General features: G+C 40.3%; 1 long non-coding RNA gene and 2 pseudogenes across 1 annotated transcript in view; 2 read left to right on the forward strand and 1 right to left on the reverse strand.

Annotated features, from left to right (window-relative positions):
• On the forward strand, window positions 1037–5936 carry KHSRPP1 (KH-type splicing regulatory protein pseudogene 1; annotated as a pseudogene).
• The window catches only part of LOC107987026 (uncharacterized), a 69939-nt gene continuing 56167 nt past the window's right edge, over window positions 3912–17683 (reverse strand). The window contains exons 2-3 of the long non-coding RNA XR_001746563.3: window positions 8780–9000; window positions 3912–5472 (exon numbers count right to left, since the gene is read on the reverse strand). This is a non-coding gene — a long non-coding RNA (uncharacterized LOC107987026). The remainder of the gene's footprint in view (window positions 5473–8779; window positions 9001–17683) is intronic.
• Window positions 5175–5387, forward strand: RN7SL151P (RNA, 7SL, cytoplasmic 151, pseudogene; annotated as a pseudogene).

The following is a 17683-nucleotide window of genomic DNA, read 5'->3' on the forward strand; positions in this document are numbered from 1 at the left end:
CATAAAAATTAATTTTCTTCTAAGGAGGAAACCTATTTATTTGTGCTGTTACTGATGAATTTATATTTAACTATTAAATTATTGTTGTATTATAATTCTGAGCATGTTTCTATTGAATTTAAGAAAGGCCATTTGAGTTTAGTAAAACACCTGCAAACTCAGATGAGTGTGAAATGCTGGCTGCATCTGAGCACATTTAAAATAATGTGTTTATTACTCAATTAAAATCCCAAGTAATATGCTACTTATAAATTAGAACTTATAAAATAAAGCCTAGGTTATGATGCAAAATCAAACTGCTGTATTTAGTGAGTAGAAATGTGAACTTTCCAACATGGTATAAAAATCAAATATAGTTGGGGCCGTAGGCAGGTGCCTGGCCCTCCTTCAGTGCCTCAAGTGGGCTCCTGGAGGTGACCCTCTGCAGGGGGTAGGGGCACACAGGGAGTCACCAGGAGCAGCCCGTGGGTGTTCAGGTGCCCAGGAGCTCCAGGTCACACTTTTGGGACAGCCCCCCACTCCTCACCCGGCCTTAGGCCATGCCTGGAGGCAGGGTCCACCTTCCCGGGCCGAGGGTCTTTACTCTCCTCTCCATATCAGGGCAAAGGGCAGTGTTTGCCCCCAACCCAATCCCATTTCTGTTCCCTCCCTTGGAGGAAGGGGCATTGTGGGGATGGGACGGACAGTCCTTCCTCTTGAGTCAGGAAAGTGTATAGAGGAACTATCTAGGGCTGAGCACTTGGGCGAAATGGGGAAAATGAGTATAGGAACTGGTTTTTGGAAGCTTTGGTGGCTTGAAAGGTGGTCTGTCTCTTTGGGGGAAAGAGGAGAGGGTCTCCCACCACCGTGTATTGAGGCATGATGACAAGAAGGTGTCACGTGCTGCTAGGACTGACCTCTTCAGCTCCATTTACAGCCTCCCCATGGCCTGGAGGGGTGGAGGTCTGTAGAATGGGAGGACTTTGCCTCCTTTCAGGAAACAGACCGGCTCCTGGGCTGTCTCAATGCCTCTGGGGCTGTAGACTGGCTCCTCCCAAGATCGCAGCCAAAATTGTAGGTGATGCTGCAACGACAGTGAATAACAGCACTCCAGATTTTGGTCTAGGGGGCCATAAGAGACAGTTGGAAGATGGAGATCAACCGGAGAGCAAGAAGCTGGCTTCCCAGGGAGACTCAATCAGTTCTCAACTTGGACCCATCCATCGTCCCCCAAGGACTTCAATGACAGAAGAGTGCAGGGTCCCAGACGGTGTGGTGGGCCTGATCTTTGGCAGAGGGCGCGAACAAATTGACAAAATCTAACAGGATTCAGCCTGCAAAGTATAGATTACTCCAGGCAGCAGTGGCCTACCCAAGCACAGTGTGTCCTTGACAAGAGCCCCAGAATCTCTCCAGAAAGCGAAGATGATGCTGGATGACATTGTGTCTCGGGGTCATGGGGGGCCCCCAGGACAGTTCCACGACACCGCCAAAGGGGGCCAGAATGGCACTGTACAGGACATGATCCCTGCGGGCAACGCCGGCCTGGTCATCGCCAAGGGCGGGGAGACCATGAAGCAGCTGCAGGAATACGCTGGAGTGAAGATGATCTTAATTCAAGATGGTTCTCAGAACACGAATGTGGACAACCCTCTCCGGATCCCTGGGGATCCTTACAAAGTGCAGCAAGCCTGCCAGATGGTGATGGACATCCTCCGGGAACGTGACCAAGGCGGCTTTGGGGACTGGAATGATTACGGATCTCGGACTGGCGGGGACATTGATGTGCCGGTGCCCAGGCATTCTGTCGGCGTGGTCATTGGCCTGAGAGGAGAGATGATCAAGAAGATCCAGAATGACGCTGGCGTGCCGATACAGTTCAAGCAAGATGATGGGACAGGGCCCGAGAAGATTGCTCATATAATGGGGTCCCCAGACAGGTGCGAGCACGCAGCCCGGATCATCAACGACCTCCTCCAGAGCCTCAGGAGTGGTCCCCCAGGCCCTCCAAGGGGTCCAGGCATGCCCCCGGGGAGGCCGAGGAAGAGGCCAAGGCAACTGGCGGCCCCCTGGCGGGGAGATGACCTTCTCCATCCCCACTCACAAGCGCCGGCTGGTCATCGGCCGAGGTGGCCAGAACGTGAAAGTCATAAACCAGCAGACTGTAGCCTTCGTAGAGATCTCCTGGCAGCTACCATCCAGTGGGGATCCCAACTTCAAGTCGTTCATCATCCAGGGTTCGCCCCAGCAGATCCAACACGCCGAGCAGCTTATCGAGGGGGCCCTTCAACCAGGGGCCACCTGGGCTCCCCCGCGTGCCTGGGGGCTCCCTCCTTACCAGGGCTGGGGCAATACCTACCCACAGTGGCAACCGCCTGCTCCTCACGATCCAAGCAAAGCAGCTGCGTCTACCGCGGACGCCAACGCCACATGGGCCGCCTACTACTCACATTACTACCAGCAGTCCCCGCCCCGTCGTCGGCCCCGCGCAGGTCCCCGGGGCTTCACCCGCTCAAGGTGAGCCCCCTCAGTCCCCGCCCACCGGCCAGTCGGACTACACTAAGGCCTGGGAAGAGTATTACAAAAAGATCGGCCCAGCAGCCCCAGCAGCCGGAAGCGCCCGGCAGCAGGACTACACGAAGGCCTGGGAGGAGCACTTCAAGAAGCAGGCGCCAAGTGGCCACCGGAGGGAGTCCAGGAACTCCCCCAGGCTGCCAGCCAGACTACAATGCAGTCTGGGGAGAATATTACAGACAGCAAGCCGCTTACTACGGACAGATCCCAGGTCCCGGCAGCCATGCATCAGGGACAGCAGCAGGCTCAATGAATGGAATGAATGTGAACTTCTTCATCTGTGAAAAATCTTTTTTTTTTTTTCATTTTTTTCTGTTTGGGGGCTTCGGTTTTGTTTGGCGAGAGAGCGATGGCTGCCGTGAGGAGTATAGGGGAGCCCTTGCGGCAAGCTTGGGGGCTCAGGGACTTGGGAGCGTGCCGGGCCCTCACTCTCTCGCCCGTTCTGAGTCTCACATGCTTTTTCTTATATATATATATATATATATATATATATATTTTTTTTTTTTTAATTATACTTTAAGTTCTAGGGTACACCTGCACAACGTGCAGGCTTGTTACGTATGTATACATGTGCCATGTTGGTGTGCTGCACCCATTAACTCGTCATTTACATTAGGTATATCTCCTAATGCTATCCCTCCTCCCTCCCCCCACCCCACAACAGGCCCCGGTGTGTGATGTTCCCTTTCCTGTGTCCAAGTGTTCTCATTGTTCAATTCCCACCTATGAGTGAGAACATGCTGTGTTTGCTTTTTTGCTCTTGCGATAGTTTGCTGAGAATGATGGTTTCCAGCTTCATCCATGTCCCTACAAAGGACATGAACTCATAATGTTTTATGGCTGCATAATATTCCATGGTGTATAAGTGCCACATTTTCTTAATCCAGTCTATCGTTGTTGGACATTTGGGTTGGTTCCAAGTCTTTGCTATTGTGAGTAGTGCCATAATAAACATACCTGTGCATGTGTCTTTACAGCAGCATGATTTATATTCCTGTGGATATATAGCGAGTAATGGGATGGCTGGGTCAAACGCTATTTCTAGTTCTAGATCCCTGAGGAATCACCACACTGTCTTCCACAATGGTTGAACTAGTTTACAGTCCCACCAACAGCGTAAAAGTGTTCTTATTTCTCCACATCCTCTCCAGCACCTGTTGTTTCCTGACTTTTTAATGATTGCCATTCTAACTGGTGTGAGATGATATCTCATTGTGGTTTTGATTTGCATTTCTCTGATGGCCATTGATGGTGACCATTTTTTCATGTGTCTGTTGGCTGCATAAATGTCTTCTTTTGAGAAGTGTCTGTTCATATCCTTTGCCCACTTGTTGATGGGGTTGTTTTTTTCTTGTAAATTTGTTTGAGTTCTTTGTGGATTCTGGATATTAGCCCTTTGTCAGATGAGTAGATTGCAAAAATTTTCTCCCATTCTGTAGGTTGCCTGTTCACTCTGATGGTAGTTTCTTTTGCTGTGCAGAAGCTCTTTAGTTTAATTAGATCCCATTTGTCAATTTTGGCTTTTGTTGCCATTGCTTTTGGTGTTTTAGACATGAAGTCCTTGCCCATGCCTATGTCCTGAATGGTATTGCCTAGGTTTTCTTCTAGGATTTTTATGGTTTTAGGTCTAAAATTTAAGTCTTTAATCCATCTCGAATTAATTTTGGTATAAGGTGTAAGGAAGGGATCCAGTTTCGGCTTTCTACATATGGTTAGCCAGTTTTCCCAGCACCATTTGTTAAATAGGGAATCCTTTCCCTATTTCTTGTTTTTGTCAGGTTTGTCAAAGATCAGATGGTTGTAGATGTGTGGCATTACTTCTGAGGGCTCTGTTCTGTTCCATTGGTCTCTATCTCTGTTTTGGTACCAGTACCATGCTGTTTTGGTGACTATAGCCTTGTAGCATAGTTTGAAGTCAGGTAGCGTGATGCCTCCAGCTTTGTTCTTTTGGCTTAGGATTGACTTGGCAATGTGGGCTCTTTTTTGGTTCCATATGAACTTTAAAGTAGTTTTTTCCAATTCTGTGAAGAAAGTCATTGGTAGCTTGATGGGGATGCATTGAATCTATAAATTACCTTGGGCAGTAAGGCCATTTTCACAATATTGATTCTCCTATCCATGAGCATGGAATGTTCTTCCATTTGTTTGTGTCCTCTTTTATTTCGTTGAGCAGTGGTTTGTAGTTCTCTTTTGTAAGTTGGATTCCTAGGTATTTTATTCTCTTTGAAGCAATTGTGAATGGGAGTTCACTCATGATTTGGCTCTCTGTCTGTTATTGGTGTATAAGAATGCTTGTGATTTTTGCACATTGATTTTGTATCCTGAGACTTTGCTGAAGTCGCTTGTCAGCTTAAGGAGATTTTGGGCTGAGACGATGGGGTTTTCTAAATATACAATCATGTCATCTGCAAACAGGGACAATTTGACTTCCTCTTTTCCTAATTGAATACCCTTTATTTCTTTCTCCTGCCTGATTGCCCTGACCAGAACTTCCAACACCATGTTGAATAGGAGTGGTAAGAGAGGGCATCCCTGTCTTGTGCCAGTTTTCAAAGGGAATGCTTCCAGTTTTTGCCCATTCAGTGTGATATTGGCTGTGGGTTTGTCATAAATAGGTCTTTGTGCCTGTAGTCCCAGCTACTCAGGAGGCTGAGGCTGGAGGATCGCTTGAGTCCAGGAGTTCTGGGCTGTAGTGTGCTATGCGTATCGGGTGTCCGCACTAAGTTTGGCATCAATATGGTGACCTCCTGGGAGCGGGGACCACCAGGTTGCCTAAGGAGGGGTGAACTGGCCCAGGTCGGAAACGGAGCAGGTCGAAACTCCCATGCTGATCACATGCTTTTTCTTTCAAAATTGGGATCCTTCAGGTTGAGCCAGCCAGAGAAGATAGCGAGGTGTAAATCTCTCCAAAAAAGAAACCTTACAAATTAAAAAAAAAAAACAAAAACAAATAGCAAAGCAGAAGTTATTAAGTTATATATCTATATATAAAAAATATTTTTAAAAGGTAAATCATTTGTCTCATGACCTAGAATGAAACTAGCACAATAATTACAAATAATTTTGTTTGTCTATATACAAAATTTTAGATTGGTGCCATTTTATGAACAATACTGCACTTTTATAGTTATTTTGTGCAATTTTATAGTAATAGATATTTCTAGGTTCTCTGGTGTTCTTGTACGTGTTGATTTCTTGTTCTACAAACTACGTATTTGTAAAAGTGGGGTAGAGATTTTAATTTGTATGTATATATAAAAGTCTCTATTCTCCACCCCTCGGCATTCCTGAACCTGCCTCTCTGAGGATAAAGCAATTCATTTTCTCCCACCCTTAGCCCACTTCTTGCTTTTAAAATAAACTTCTAAAAAGCAAAAAAAAAAAAAAAATCAAACACAGTTAACATTGATTTTATTTTCTACTTTGACAACTCAAGTTTTCATTTCCAAGCATGGCAATCATGTTATTGTGCTGAGGTTGCCATAAGAAAATACCACAGACTGGATGGCTTAAACAGCAATTTATTTTCTCACAGTTCTGAAGACCGAGAAGTTCAAAATCATGGTGCTGGCCGATTCAGTTTCTGGTAAGGGCTGTCTTCCTGGCTTGCTGAGGCTGCCTTCTCACTGTATCCCCACATGGTAGAAAGAGAGAGCTCTGGTGTCTCTTCCTTTTCTTGCAAGGGCACCAGTTCTACTGAATTATGGCCCCATGCTTGCAGCCTCATTTAACTTTTATCACTACCTTATAGGCCCTAGCTCCAAATACTATACTATCACACTGGGAGCTGGGCTTCAACATATAAATTTGGGGAGGATACAAACATTTAGTCCATAACAACAATTATTTTAATTTATTAAATTAGGTAGCTCTTCTACTAATTTGCCTAGCTATTGGCCTGTTTAAGTTGTTCTCAAATAGATTATATAACTTTTAAGAACATACCAATGCCTAGGGCCCACTTTGAGAAATTTCGATTTAACTGATTTGAGATCAAGCCTGGACATTAGCATTTTTGTTCTTGCTGCTGTTGTCTTTGTTATTGATGAGCTGCTCATTTGGAAAAAAAAGTGACTTTATGTACTTTATTCAGTCATCTATATCCGAAATGTATCTGAGTTACCCAATGCATATATTTTAATTGAGGCAAAATTTATACACAATGAAATCTAAAGATTAATATAATTAAATGAATTTTGATAAATATATAGACCCATATGAATATTATCCAAACAAGATACAGAATATTTCTATCACCACAGAAATCTCTATAATTTCCTCCTCCAAGAAACCCCCTTCCTTCTGAGCAATCATATTTCTGATTTTTCTCACCATAAATTAATTTTTACCTATTCTTGAAATCATATAAGTGGCACTATGCAGTATGTACTCTTTTGTGTCTAGTTTCATTTTGATAATTTAGATTCATCTATATTGTTGCATTCTTATTTGTTCTCTTTAATTGCTATCTAGTACTTTATTGTATGAATATATCATTATTTGTATATCCATTATCTGCATTGTTTCCAGTTTGCAGCCATTATGAATAAGTTAGTATAAACTTTTTTGCGCATGTTGTTTTATGGGCACACTTACTTGTTTTTCTTGGGTAAATACCATGGAGTGGAACTGCTAGACTATAGGGCAGATGAAGGTTTAAAAGAAACTGCCAAATACTTTTCCAAAACATCTGTGTCATTTTACACTTTCAGCAGTAATGTATGAAAGATCCAGTTGCTCCATGTTGTTTTGTTCACTGTCATGGTGGCTCTTTAATTTTCACCATTTTAGCTGGTATGAAATGGTATCACTGTGGCTTTCATTTGGATTTATCTTTTCATGTGCTTATTGGTCATGCATGCATCCTCTATTTTATAATATTCAAGTCTTTTGCCTATTCTTTTAAAATTAGGGTTTTTATCTTTTTATTATTCATTCAAAACAGTTTTATATGCTCTGGATAAAAATCCTTTGCATTTCAAACGTTTTTTCCCAGTCTGGCCTTTACTTTTCATTTTCTTAATGTATCAGCTTTTAGAAAAACTTGCCAGATGCAGTCAGAGAACTATTACTTTCTGCCACATTTCAGGCCCATATTTCTCTTCTTTTCTCCAGTCCTTCTAGATAAGAATTAACATTGTTTGACAAATTTGTTTCATACATGCTCACTCATTTAATAAGTTGACAATTGTGTTGAATTTGGGTCACTTTCTATTTGACCCTTTTGTCTCAATTTTGGTACAAGCTAGAGCTGAAACTTGAGTAAAGCATGGCATATTCTGGATGGTATACTAGATTACAGTCCAGTTGGATGTTAAATGAATCCAAATGTTATCACTTCTTATTTTAATAAATTGCTTTCAATAAAAAATTCCCCAAAATCTAGAGTCAATCTTTTCCCTCAAATGATCTCACATTTAACCACTACGCAGTGGATCACACAATAAACACCATTTGGATTCTACTGTAAATTGTCTTCTAGGTATATTATTACACAATCATAATGTCTTCTAGGTATATTGTTATACTTTATAACAAATAAATTTGTTTTAAAATACTTCATTTGGCTATTTTTGACAGAAAAATTTCATCAGAAATTTTTTGTGACTTTATGATAACTGAAAATTGCAGAATACATAATTTTTTTACATGTTAGCATGATAGCATGTTAAATTAAATGAGGCCATCGGTTTCAAATAATGAAATCACATTAAATTTAATGGAAGCCAACAGTTGTGTCCATACTTATGACAGAATGATTGTGGAAACGTTATTACTTTCATTCAAATATTCAGGACATCCTCAATTCTTCCTTCTCCCTCAAACTCCTGAGGCTACTAGCTACCAGGTTATGCCAATGATCCCTTCAGGATTTCCCTCTAATTTTGTCCCCAGTGTCCTATTCCCTCTGCCATTTATTTCATTGCTCCCGATCATTTCTCACCGTGGCTCTTGCAAAAACCATCTAACTTGTCATCCACACACCAGGCAGTCCCCTTTACTGTCTGAAACACTGCCAGAATGATCTTCCTAAAAAAAAAAAAAAAAAAAACCAACCAAACAAAAAAAAAAAACCCTGCTCAAGTTGCCCCCTTAGTAGGTTCCAAAGGCTCCCTCATATCACTAAGACTCCAAAATTCCTCAGCATGGCAACCAAGCCCTGTTATAGATTAGCCCTCTAAATTTCTTGGCACCACATTCATCTCCTGCATATCATACCACATACCTTTCACTCCAGGCACACCAAGTTGTCACTTTTCCTTCCGTACTTTTACACAAGTTTGTACCGCTTTCCGACATCCACTTGCCTTCATTACACCTGCAGTAAGCTTAGCTCCTTCCAAATGCAGAACAAAGACCACCTCCTTGCTTAAGAATTCTCCACTTCTTGCTCCTCAGGTGTCATAACAAGAAGATTATGTGTAAAAGCACAATGCAGACTGATTTCTACAAAAAAAAGTGAGACATTAAAGATTTAAAAAATTGATAGGATTACAAGGTAATAGTTAAGAGTTTGGAATCATAGCTGAGTTTTAGATCCAATTTCTTAGACATAGCTGTGTTATTTCAGGAAAGTTACTCATGTTTATTGCCTCAGTCTCCTCATTTGTGAAGTAAAAGTATTTCCACCATAAAAGATACGTGTGAGGATTTTTTAAAATCACGTATACAGAAGAGTTTAGCACAGTACCTAGAATATAATAAATATTCTACAAACGATAGCCATTGTCATTCTTATTGCTATTGATCGATTAAATGGTTGCATGTGGAATGAAAGAAAAGTATCTAAAGGTTAGGTATTGTAGAGAGAGAAAATAACTTTTCTGATTAGCTTTGGGAAAAATAGAAGGGGATAGGTATTAATTCATGAGAATGTGGATTACAAATTAAAATCTCTACTCCATTTTTGCAAATACGTAGTTTGTAGAACAAGAAATCAACATGTATAAGAAAACCAGAGAACCTAGAAATATCTATTACTATAAAATTGCACAAAATAACCATAAAAGTGCAGTATTGTTCGTAAAACAGCACCAATCTAAAATTCTGTATGTAGACAAACAAAATTATTTGTAATTATTGTACTAGTTTCATTCTAGGTCATGAGACAAATGATTTACCTTTTTAAAAAATATTATGTTTAGAGTGCTACTAACAACCAATGTTGTATCCAAAGAGTCTTCAGTGTTCTGGGGTGAAGAGGATAAAACAGAAATTACCCACTGCAATATTTAAATTGCTTGGTCTTGTGGCTTGTATTAAAAAATAATGCAAATTTTTTTCATCAATACATTGGTATGTGTTTGAATATAAAAATATTTTTATTTAACATGTAATAAACATTGCTAATCTACGAAGATGGGCTATGTTCCTCACTTATCCCAGGAACGCTGTTAAAAATCTTTGATTTGGGATAAATCAACATTTTTAGCTCCAGATAAAAACAATGATAAAATAGTTTATTAAAATTTTCCACTTCTTTCAATGATCTTAAGTTCATACTCATAAAAATATTATAAGGTCATCACACAAGATAACTGTTCAATTTGATTTTTTTAATCAGTCAAAATTGCTTTCATGTATTAGATATAAAAATATTCAATATAAAACATAACTTAGTGGTTAGCTTATAGTTTTCAGTTTTGAGTCAGTTTTGGTCTAAGAAATAATAGTAATAACAATAATGAATATTTCCTTATAAGCATAAATGTAATTTTTAAAAATTTCCTGTGAATAATACTTGATTAATTTCATTTCCCTGCATATGCAAGTTCCACGGAGCCATGAATATGCCCATATTACTCTAGATAGAAATGAGTCTAATGGCTTTGTCTAAAACAATAGACTAACAATAAACAATTATATGTAATATAGATAAATTAGTCTTTGCTTTACAGAGGAATCTGCTATAGCATTTCCAATATGTTCTCCTACTAATGATTCTTAACCTTTTTGAAATTATAAATCCCTTTGCGATCTAATTAAAAGCTCTGAAATTTTCTTTCCAGAAAATAACACTTATATTTGCACATAAACCACATTTTGAGTATAGTCTTATGAACTCCTGGAGTATGAAGTTTGCTCCATGAATCCCAAGTCAAGAAGCACTTCCCTAGTGTATTTAGAATTTAGTTTAACTGTCTTTGAAATCCAATTTCCAAATCACTTTTTAGGGGCACAAATAGTATAAAATGGCCAGCTCCATCAGAGAAATGCAAATCAAAACCACAATGAGATACCATCTCACACCAGGTAGAATGGCAATCATTAAAAAATGTCAGGAAACAACAGGTGCTGGAGAGGATGTGGAGAAATAGGAACACTTTTACACTGTTGGTGGGACTGTAAACTAGTTCAACCATTGTGGAAGTCAGTGTGGCGATTCCTCAGGGATCTAGAACTAGAAATACCATTTGACCCAGCCATCCCATTACTGGGTATATACCCAAAGGACTATAAATCATGCTGCTGTAAAGACACATGCACACGTATGTTTATTGCGGCATTATTCACAATAGCAAAGACTTGGAACCAACCCAAATGTCCAACAATGATAGACTGGATTAAGAAAATGTGGCACATATACACCATGGAATACTATGCAGCCATAAAAAATGATGAGTTCATGTCCTTTGTAGGGACATGGATGAAATTGGAAATCATCATTCTCAGTAAACTATCGCAAGGACAAAAAAACAAACACCGCATGTTCTCACTCATAGGTGGGAATTGAACAATGAGAACACATGGACACAGGAAGGGGAACATCACACTCTGGGGACTTTTGTGGGGTGGGGGGAGGGGGGAAGGATAGCATTGGGAGATATACCTAATGCTAGATGACGAGTTAGTGGGTGCAGCGCACCAGCATGGCACATGTATACATATGTAACAAACCTGTACATTGTGTACATGTACCCTAAAACTTAAAGTATAATAATAAAAAAAAGAATTCATTAAATAAAAAAAAAGAGAAAAAATAAAAAGTAAAAAAATAAAATAAAATAAAATGGCCGGCTATCTCTAACAAAAATACAGATTCTTTTGGAAGTTAAGAGACCTCTTGGTGCCTAACACAAGCTTTATAATAGGCTTCGTAGATGCTGGAGACTCAGTGAAGCCTGTGTATCCGGTTGGCTTCAGCAGGACTGCCTGCTGCTGGGGTTGCCTTGGAAAGTCATCCTCAGCTCACCCCAACTTCTGCCCTTCCTTTACCTGGGATAACATTTCGCCTAAATAACAACCAAGTGAGAAATATCTTTTGTTTGCACTCTTTTCCTTTTTATTCACACTGCGAAAATCTTTAGCAGGTATGATTTGATGAATGCTTCTCTCTATGATATTTTTGCTTTCTGAATCTGTAACTTAGTGATAGCCTTGTGTTACATGTCAAAAGCATTATTTATGCATTTATTTAACAAATACTTACTGAGCTCCTACTTTATCCCTAGCACAGTGCTATAATGGGGGGTTCCAGTGAGTAAAATCAGAGTCCCTACCCTCATGGGGCAGACAGTCTATTGAGAGAGATACACAGTAATCAAAAAGAATATCACAAATAATTACAAGAATCATAGTGCTACAGAGGAGAGTTACATGGAGCTATGAAAGGATATAATTGCCCTGTCGGACAAGTCAGGAGGTCAAAAAAGGAATTGAATATGCTGAAATTTGAAGAAAGAGTTAACCAGGTGGAATGGAAAGGAGTAGAAAAGCATTCCTATACAAAAGCCTGTGTCCTGACTAGCTTTTGCCTTACTCTGTGCTCAGATATTTGCGTCTTGCTAGAATAGCCTGTACAAAGGCCCTATGCCTAGAGAGCGAACTAGTTACAGGTACAGCTGTAGTTCATATAATTTTTGCTACTATGTACTTTTTCAATCACAGACTTAGGACCTCAAGGTGCCCCTTAGACTGGAATTGCTCCTCTCCTTCTGTGTCTAGATGTGGAGGAATATGTTTAGCTGGAAGGAAGAGCAGTGGATCTCAGCATGAGAAGAGCTGCCCACCAGAAGCTGTGTGCTTCTGGACAAACCACACAATTACTAACTTCTCAGGTCTTGTTTTCATTGGGAGAATCCGTACAGGAACATTTTAGCAAATAGCTTTTTGAGGTAGTTGTAAAGAGACTTACAAAGTATAGTGGATATAGGTGGTGGTGATAATGTCTGTGGTGGAGGTGGTATTTCTCTTTTAAATCAGCTTTTCTAAAACTGAGTCCTGCTCAATGTTCGGCATAAAATAATTAAATGGCAACCACAGGCTTCTGTTGTTGAGAGGGGCTAGACATGGCGAGGAGGTTTTTAACTTTAAGGCAAGGTATATGAGTCTGTACAAGAAAGCAGCCATGTGTTGGCTTTCAAATACAACACAAAGCCAGTGTGTGTGTTGAAGGAGAGGAGTGGTCTTTAAAAGTCTCCTCCTTCACAATATGCACAGGAGGGTACTGGTCTACAGAGAAAAGGCGGCCTCCAAAGACAACATAGTTTACAGCACAGAAAGTTCAGGTAAGAGCGCTAGGTGGGAATTTGTAAAACATTTCAAAAGGAAGCAAAATTTTTGGAGGTGTCAAGTAAGGAACAATGAAGATGTTATACTTTGTGCAAGTTTAATATTTTAGCCAAGATTTCAGCAAGAAAAATGTCTGAGCACGGACCAAATAAAGTAAGGAGAAAGCAAGTCAGGACACAAAGAGGATCCTTGCTGGACCAGCATAGCATCTTTTCCCCAGAGGCAAGGAGTGGCATCATCCTAGCTTCTTTTTTTTTTTTCTTTTTTTCTTTTTTTTTTTTTTTTTGAGACAGTCTCACTCTGTTGCCCAGGCTGGAATGCAGTGGCACGATCTCCACTAACTGCAACCTCCGCCTCCTGGGTTCAAGTGATTCTCCTGCCTCAGCCTCCCAAGTAGCTGGGATTTTGGGGCACACCACCACACCCAATTAATTTTTGTATTTTTCGTAGAGATGGGGTTTCACCATGTTGGCCAGGCTAGTCTCGAACTCCTGACCTCAGCTGATCTACCCACCTTGGCATCCCAAAGTGCTGAGATTACAGATGTGAGCCACCGCATCTGGCCCTAGCATCATCTTTAGAGGCGAGGAGTGGAGTGTCACCTCAGCAGCCAGCTTATGCTCTTCTTAGTGTGCAGAACGCATACAAAGAGTAAACATTACCCTGACCTCATCTGAGAATAGATGGAGGTTCAGATATTCTCAGCAAGTCCTTTTTTGCCTTTATGAATTCTCGTGTAAAAGAAATTTTTACAAAGAGATACTTCCACTTGGTAAATCCTTCCTGATTATTATCCAAGACTTTGGTGTGGAGATTAAACATAATCAGCTAAGGAACCACCCTAACCGAATTCTGCCTTGATTTCTATTTGGTCACCTATGTCTTAACTTATATTACTTCTTGTTAAATTTTAATGTTCCCAAACAAACTTCTGAAGTCAATTATCTATTTACAGCCAATGAGAGTGGGAACATTTTGACAGAGCCAGCTACTTCCAATATTTATTGATACATTGCTTCCTACCTGGGACCCAGTATTACTTACCTCACTCACAGATGTGGTTAACATGTACATAGCCTACTGGTCTATGTTACACTGTTTCACGTTCCAGCTGAACAATACTCCCCTTTAAGAAGCATCAGAGAACCCAAATTACTGCATGATACCTGACTCAACTTGTTCCTCTATTGTAGCATAAGATTAAAGCATTTTTTCATCGACTTCTCCCCTAACCCCCAGTCCTTCTTAATCCTCTATCTGGCTGATTCATAACAGCTGTTAAATAACTAGACATTTAGGTAAAGGCAAACTGAAGCTATAAATCAATGTGTGTGATTTAATAACCAACTCTTTCTGGCGCAGCTTGCTCATACTGTCTTGGTTTGCTTTTTTTTATGCTGACTTAAGCTGCAGCATCTGTATGAAGGGGTTTAGCACAATTGTAAATACTAATCTCCAGGCTGCCAATGTCATTACGGAAGTAGATACAAGTAAATGAAACTCACAGTACATTTCTATAGACACTGTGGGTGATTTTGAAGACATATGTATCTTCCAAGCTGTTACAATCTTCCTGAATGTGAGTATTTCTTAGGACTGTCTTCGTTGTAAACTACAGAAACCAGCATCAGCTAGTTTAAGCAGAATAGGGGAATTAGAAGGATACAGAATGTCCTAAATGTCTTACAGAATCCAGCTGCAGGGATGCAGTGGGGCCTCAGGAAGGGGCTGACACCAGAGCCTAGAAAGCCATCGAGATTTTCTCACCATTTTACCTCTCTTCCTCTCAGTCCATCTGTTCATTCCTCTTGCTGTCTATCAACTGGTTTCTTCCACGTGGCAGGCATTGGCTGGTTGTTCAGCAAATTCCTTTTTTTTCTTCTGGGGATGTAACTAGACCACATGGGCCATTAGATGTAACCACGTAGCTCACTTCTGGCTTCCACTTCAAATTCTGACCTATAAGCTCCCATGAAATTCTGTACTTTCTATCTCTCCTAATCTACCGGCAGAATGATGAAAACTAAAGCCTTGGAGGAGGTTAGGAGCCACAGGATAAAAGGAGCTTGGTCCCTGAATAACTGCATGCCCCCTGCCCTATCATCAACACCTCCCTCCTCCACCATGGACTTGATGTTACTGAGAAGTAAAGTGCTATCTGTTAAGTTCTACCTATTCCGTTAAGCTATTAAGATTTGAAGATTTATCTTCTATTGCAGTTAGTATCACTCTAAATCTTCTTTCCTTGTGTGGAAAATACGGAGCCTGTGGCTTCAGAGCTTATGCTTTACAAATACAGCCTTCTACCAACAAGAAAAAAAAAAAAGCCTTCTCTCAATTGGTCTCAATTCCAAATTTTCAAAAATCAGAGTCGGATTGAACCAGTGGGTCAACTCCTACCCTTGATACACTCAACTTTGATAAGGGAGGTTAAGTCGTCATGCACAAAGTGGCCACTAGAGGGTACACTATGTGAACATGAGTTTTAAAACCAAGACTGAGCCTTGAGTTCTTGTTTTGGCTCTGCGGCTAACTTGTTGAGTAGTCTTAATGATTGCACTTAACCACTTTAGGCATCAGTCTCCTCATATCAAAATGAGAAATTTAGATGAAGTCCTTTCCAAAATGTTTTTCTACTTTACTATTATATAATCCATAAGATTTCATACTATGCTCAGAAAACGACCCTTACACAACAAAATCAGAGTTTCCCAGAATTTTTTTTGCAGTTTAGCACAGCAATGCTCAAAGTATCACAGCACTTTTTGTGATTTCCCAAATAACTTGCTTAGTGTCCTAAGATCATAGGAATGAATAAGGTTACCATTCTAAAAGTTAATCGTGTGTTCTTTGTGAAGTACACTAATGGCTTCTTCTGCTGAACTTTCTTAAGAATTTCATAATTTTGGGATTATATAATCCTAGATTATACTATACATAATTATATACTATGCATTGATTAAGAGCACAGATTCCAGAGCTGGATTGCCTGGGTAGATCTTAAGTCTACCTTCTACTAACTGTGGGATAATATTTACTTTAGAGAGTTATTGTGGGGATTTTTTTTAAATCATACATATATGGCTCTAGCACCTAAGTGTTCAATAAATGTTTGCTTAAAAGAAGAATTTCATTTATTCTATTGTAGTTGTTTAAGTATCTGTCTACACCAATAAACTTTGAGCCCCTAAAAGCCAGATACCCAGTTTTACTGAATTTCTTGTCATTCAGACTCTAGCCTAGAGTTTAAGCACATATCTACTTAATAAATAACTTTAAATGAGTAAATGAATAAATTAATGGTATTCTCATGGAGCATTGAGTTTGCCTTACAAAAATACAAAATAATCTGTATTTTTCTCATTTTAAGTTCCTTCAATTAGTTACTTTTTTTTACAGATATTTCTTCGTAGGCCGGAGGAGCATTCCTTTATGAACAGCCTTAAGGTATGGCCATTCTTCTACTGCAAGATTGATAGCATGAGGCTACAGATTAGCATTACTTGGGGAGCTGAGGAGCTCTTTAAATATTCTGATGCCTGGGTCCCACCCAGATCTAATAAGTTAGAATCTTAGTGGTGGGGGTAGGGCGTATGCCTCAGGATATTTTTAATGCTCCCCTGGGCAGCAGTCAGGCTTGAGAACCTCTATTCTGGCTTATCTGTTTATTTTGCTGTGATATATTAAGTGTATGTTTCTTTCATTATTGTAACTTAGATTTTTTTACCCTTTCACTTGCTCATCACAGCCCATTAGGCATTGTATTACTCAGAGTTCTCCAGAGAAGCAGAACCAACAGGATGTGTGTGCTTGCGTGTGTGGGGGGGGGATATCTATGTGTGTGTGTTCATGTGTGTGTAGGCATGTGTGTGTCTGAACCAACAGGATCTGTACCACATCCTGTTAGTACACATATCTTCATACATATAAGAAGAAAGACTTACTTTAAGGAATTGGCTCACACAGTTGTGGAGGCTTGGTAAATCCAAAATCTGCAAGGGTAGACCAACAGGCTGGAGATCCAGGGAAGAGTTGCAGTTTGAGTGCAAAGGCAGGCTGCTGGCAGAGTTCCCTTTTATTCTGAGGAGTTCAGTCTTTTTCTACTAAGGCCCTAACCTGATTGAATGAGTTTCACCCACATAATGAACGGTAATTTGCTTTACTCAAATTCTACTAATTTAAATGTAAATATCATCTAAAAAACCATTACAGAAAAATCTAGAATAATGTTTGATAAAATACCTGGGTGCTGTGTGACCTAGCCAACTTGACACATACACACACATCACAAGCACTTGGGACCTCAATTTTTGCCATTTCCTCTGCTTAAAAATGTTTTCCAGTAGCTCCATGTATGCTTCAACAGGGTTTGCTTTATGATAATCTCCTTCCTGTGGTGGGGATTATGACTGCTCTCCTAACAGAAGCAGGAGAGACAAACCTGACGTGGGAGGGTTAAAAGTCTGACTCAAAGGCGCACTGTCACAATAGCCTGGGGAAGGTTCTGCATGGCTGCCTTTGTCTGCAAGAGTGCTCTTGTTTCACACTCATCTCCCTGTGAATGTCTCTTAGAAGACTCAGCTACTAAGTCAAATGAATGTACACATTCATCTCTTCT

This window comes from Homo sapiens, chromosome 9 (genome assembly GCF_000001405.40).
Source record: "Homo sapiens chromosome 9, GRCh38.p14 Primary Assembly".
NCBI classification, from domain to species: domain Eukaryota; kingdom Metazoa; phylum Chordata; class Mammalia; order Primates; family Hominidae; genus Homo; species Homo sapiens.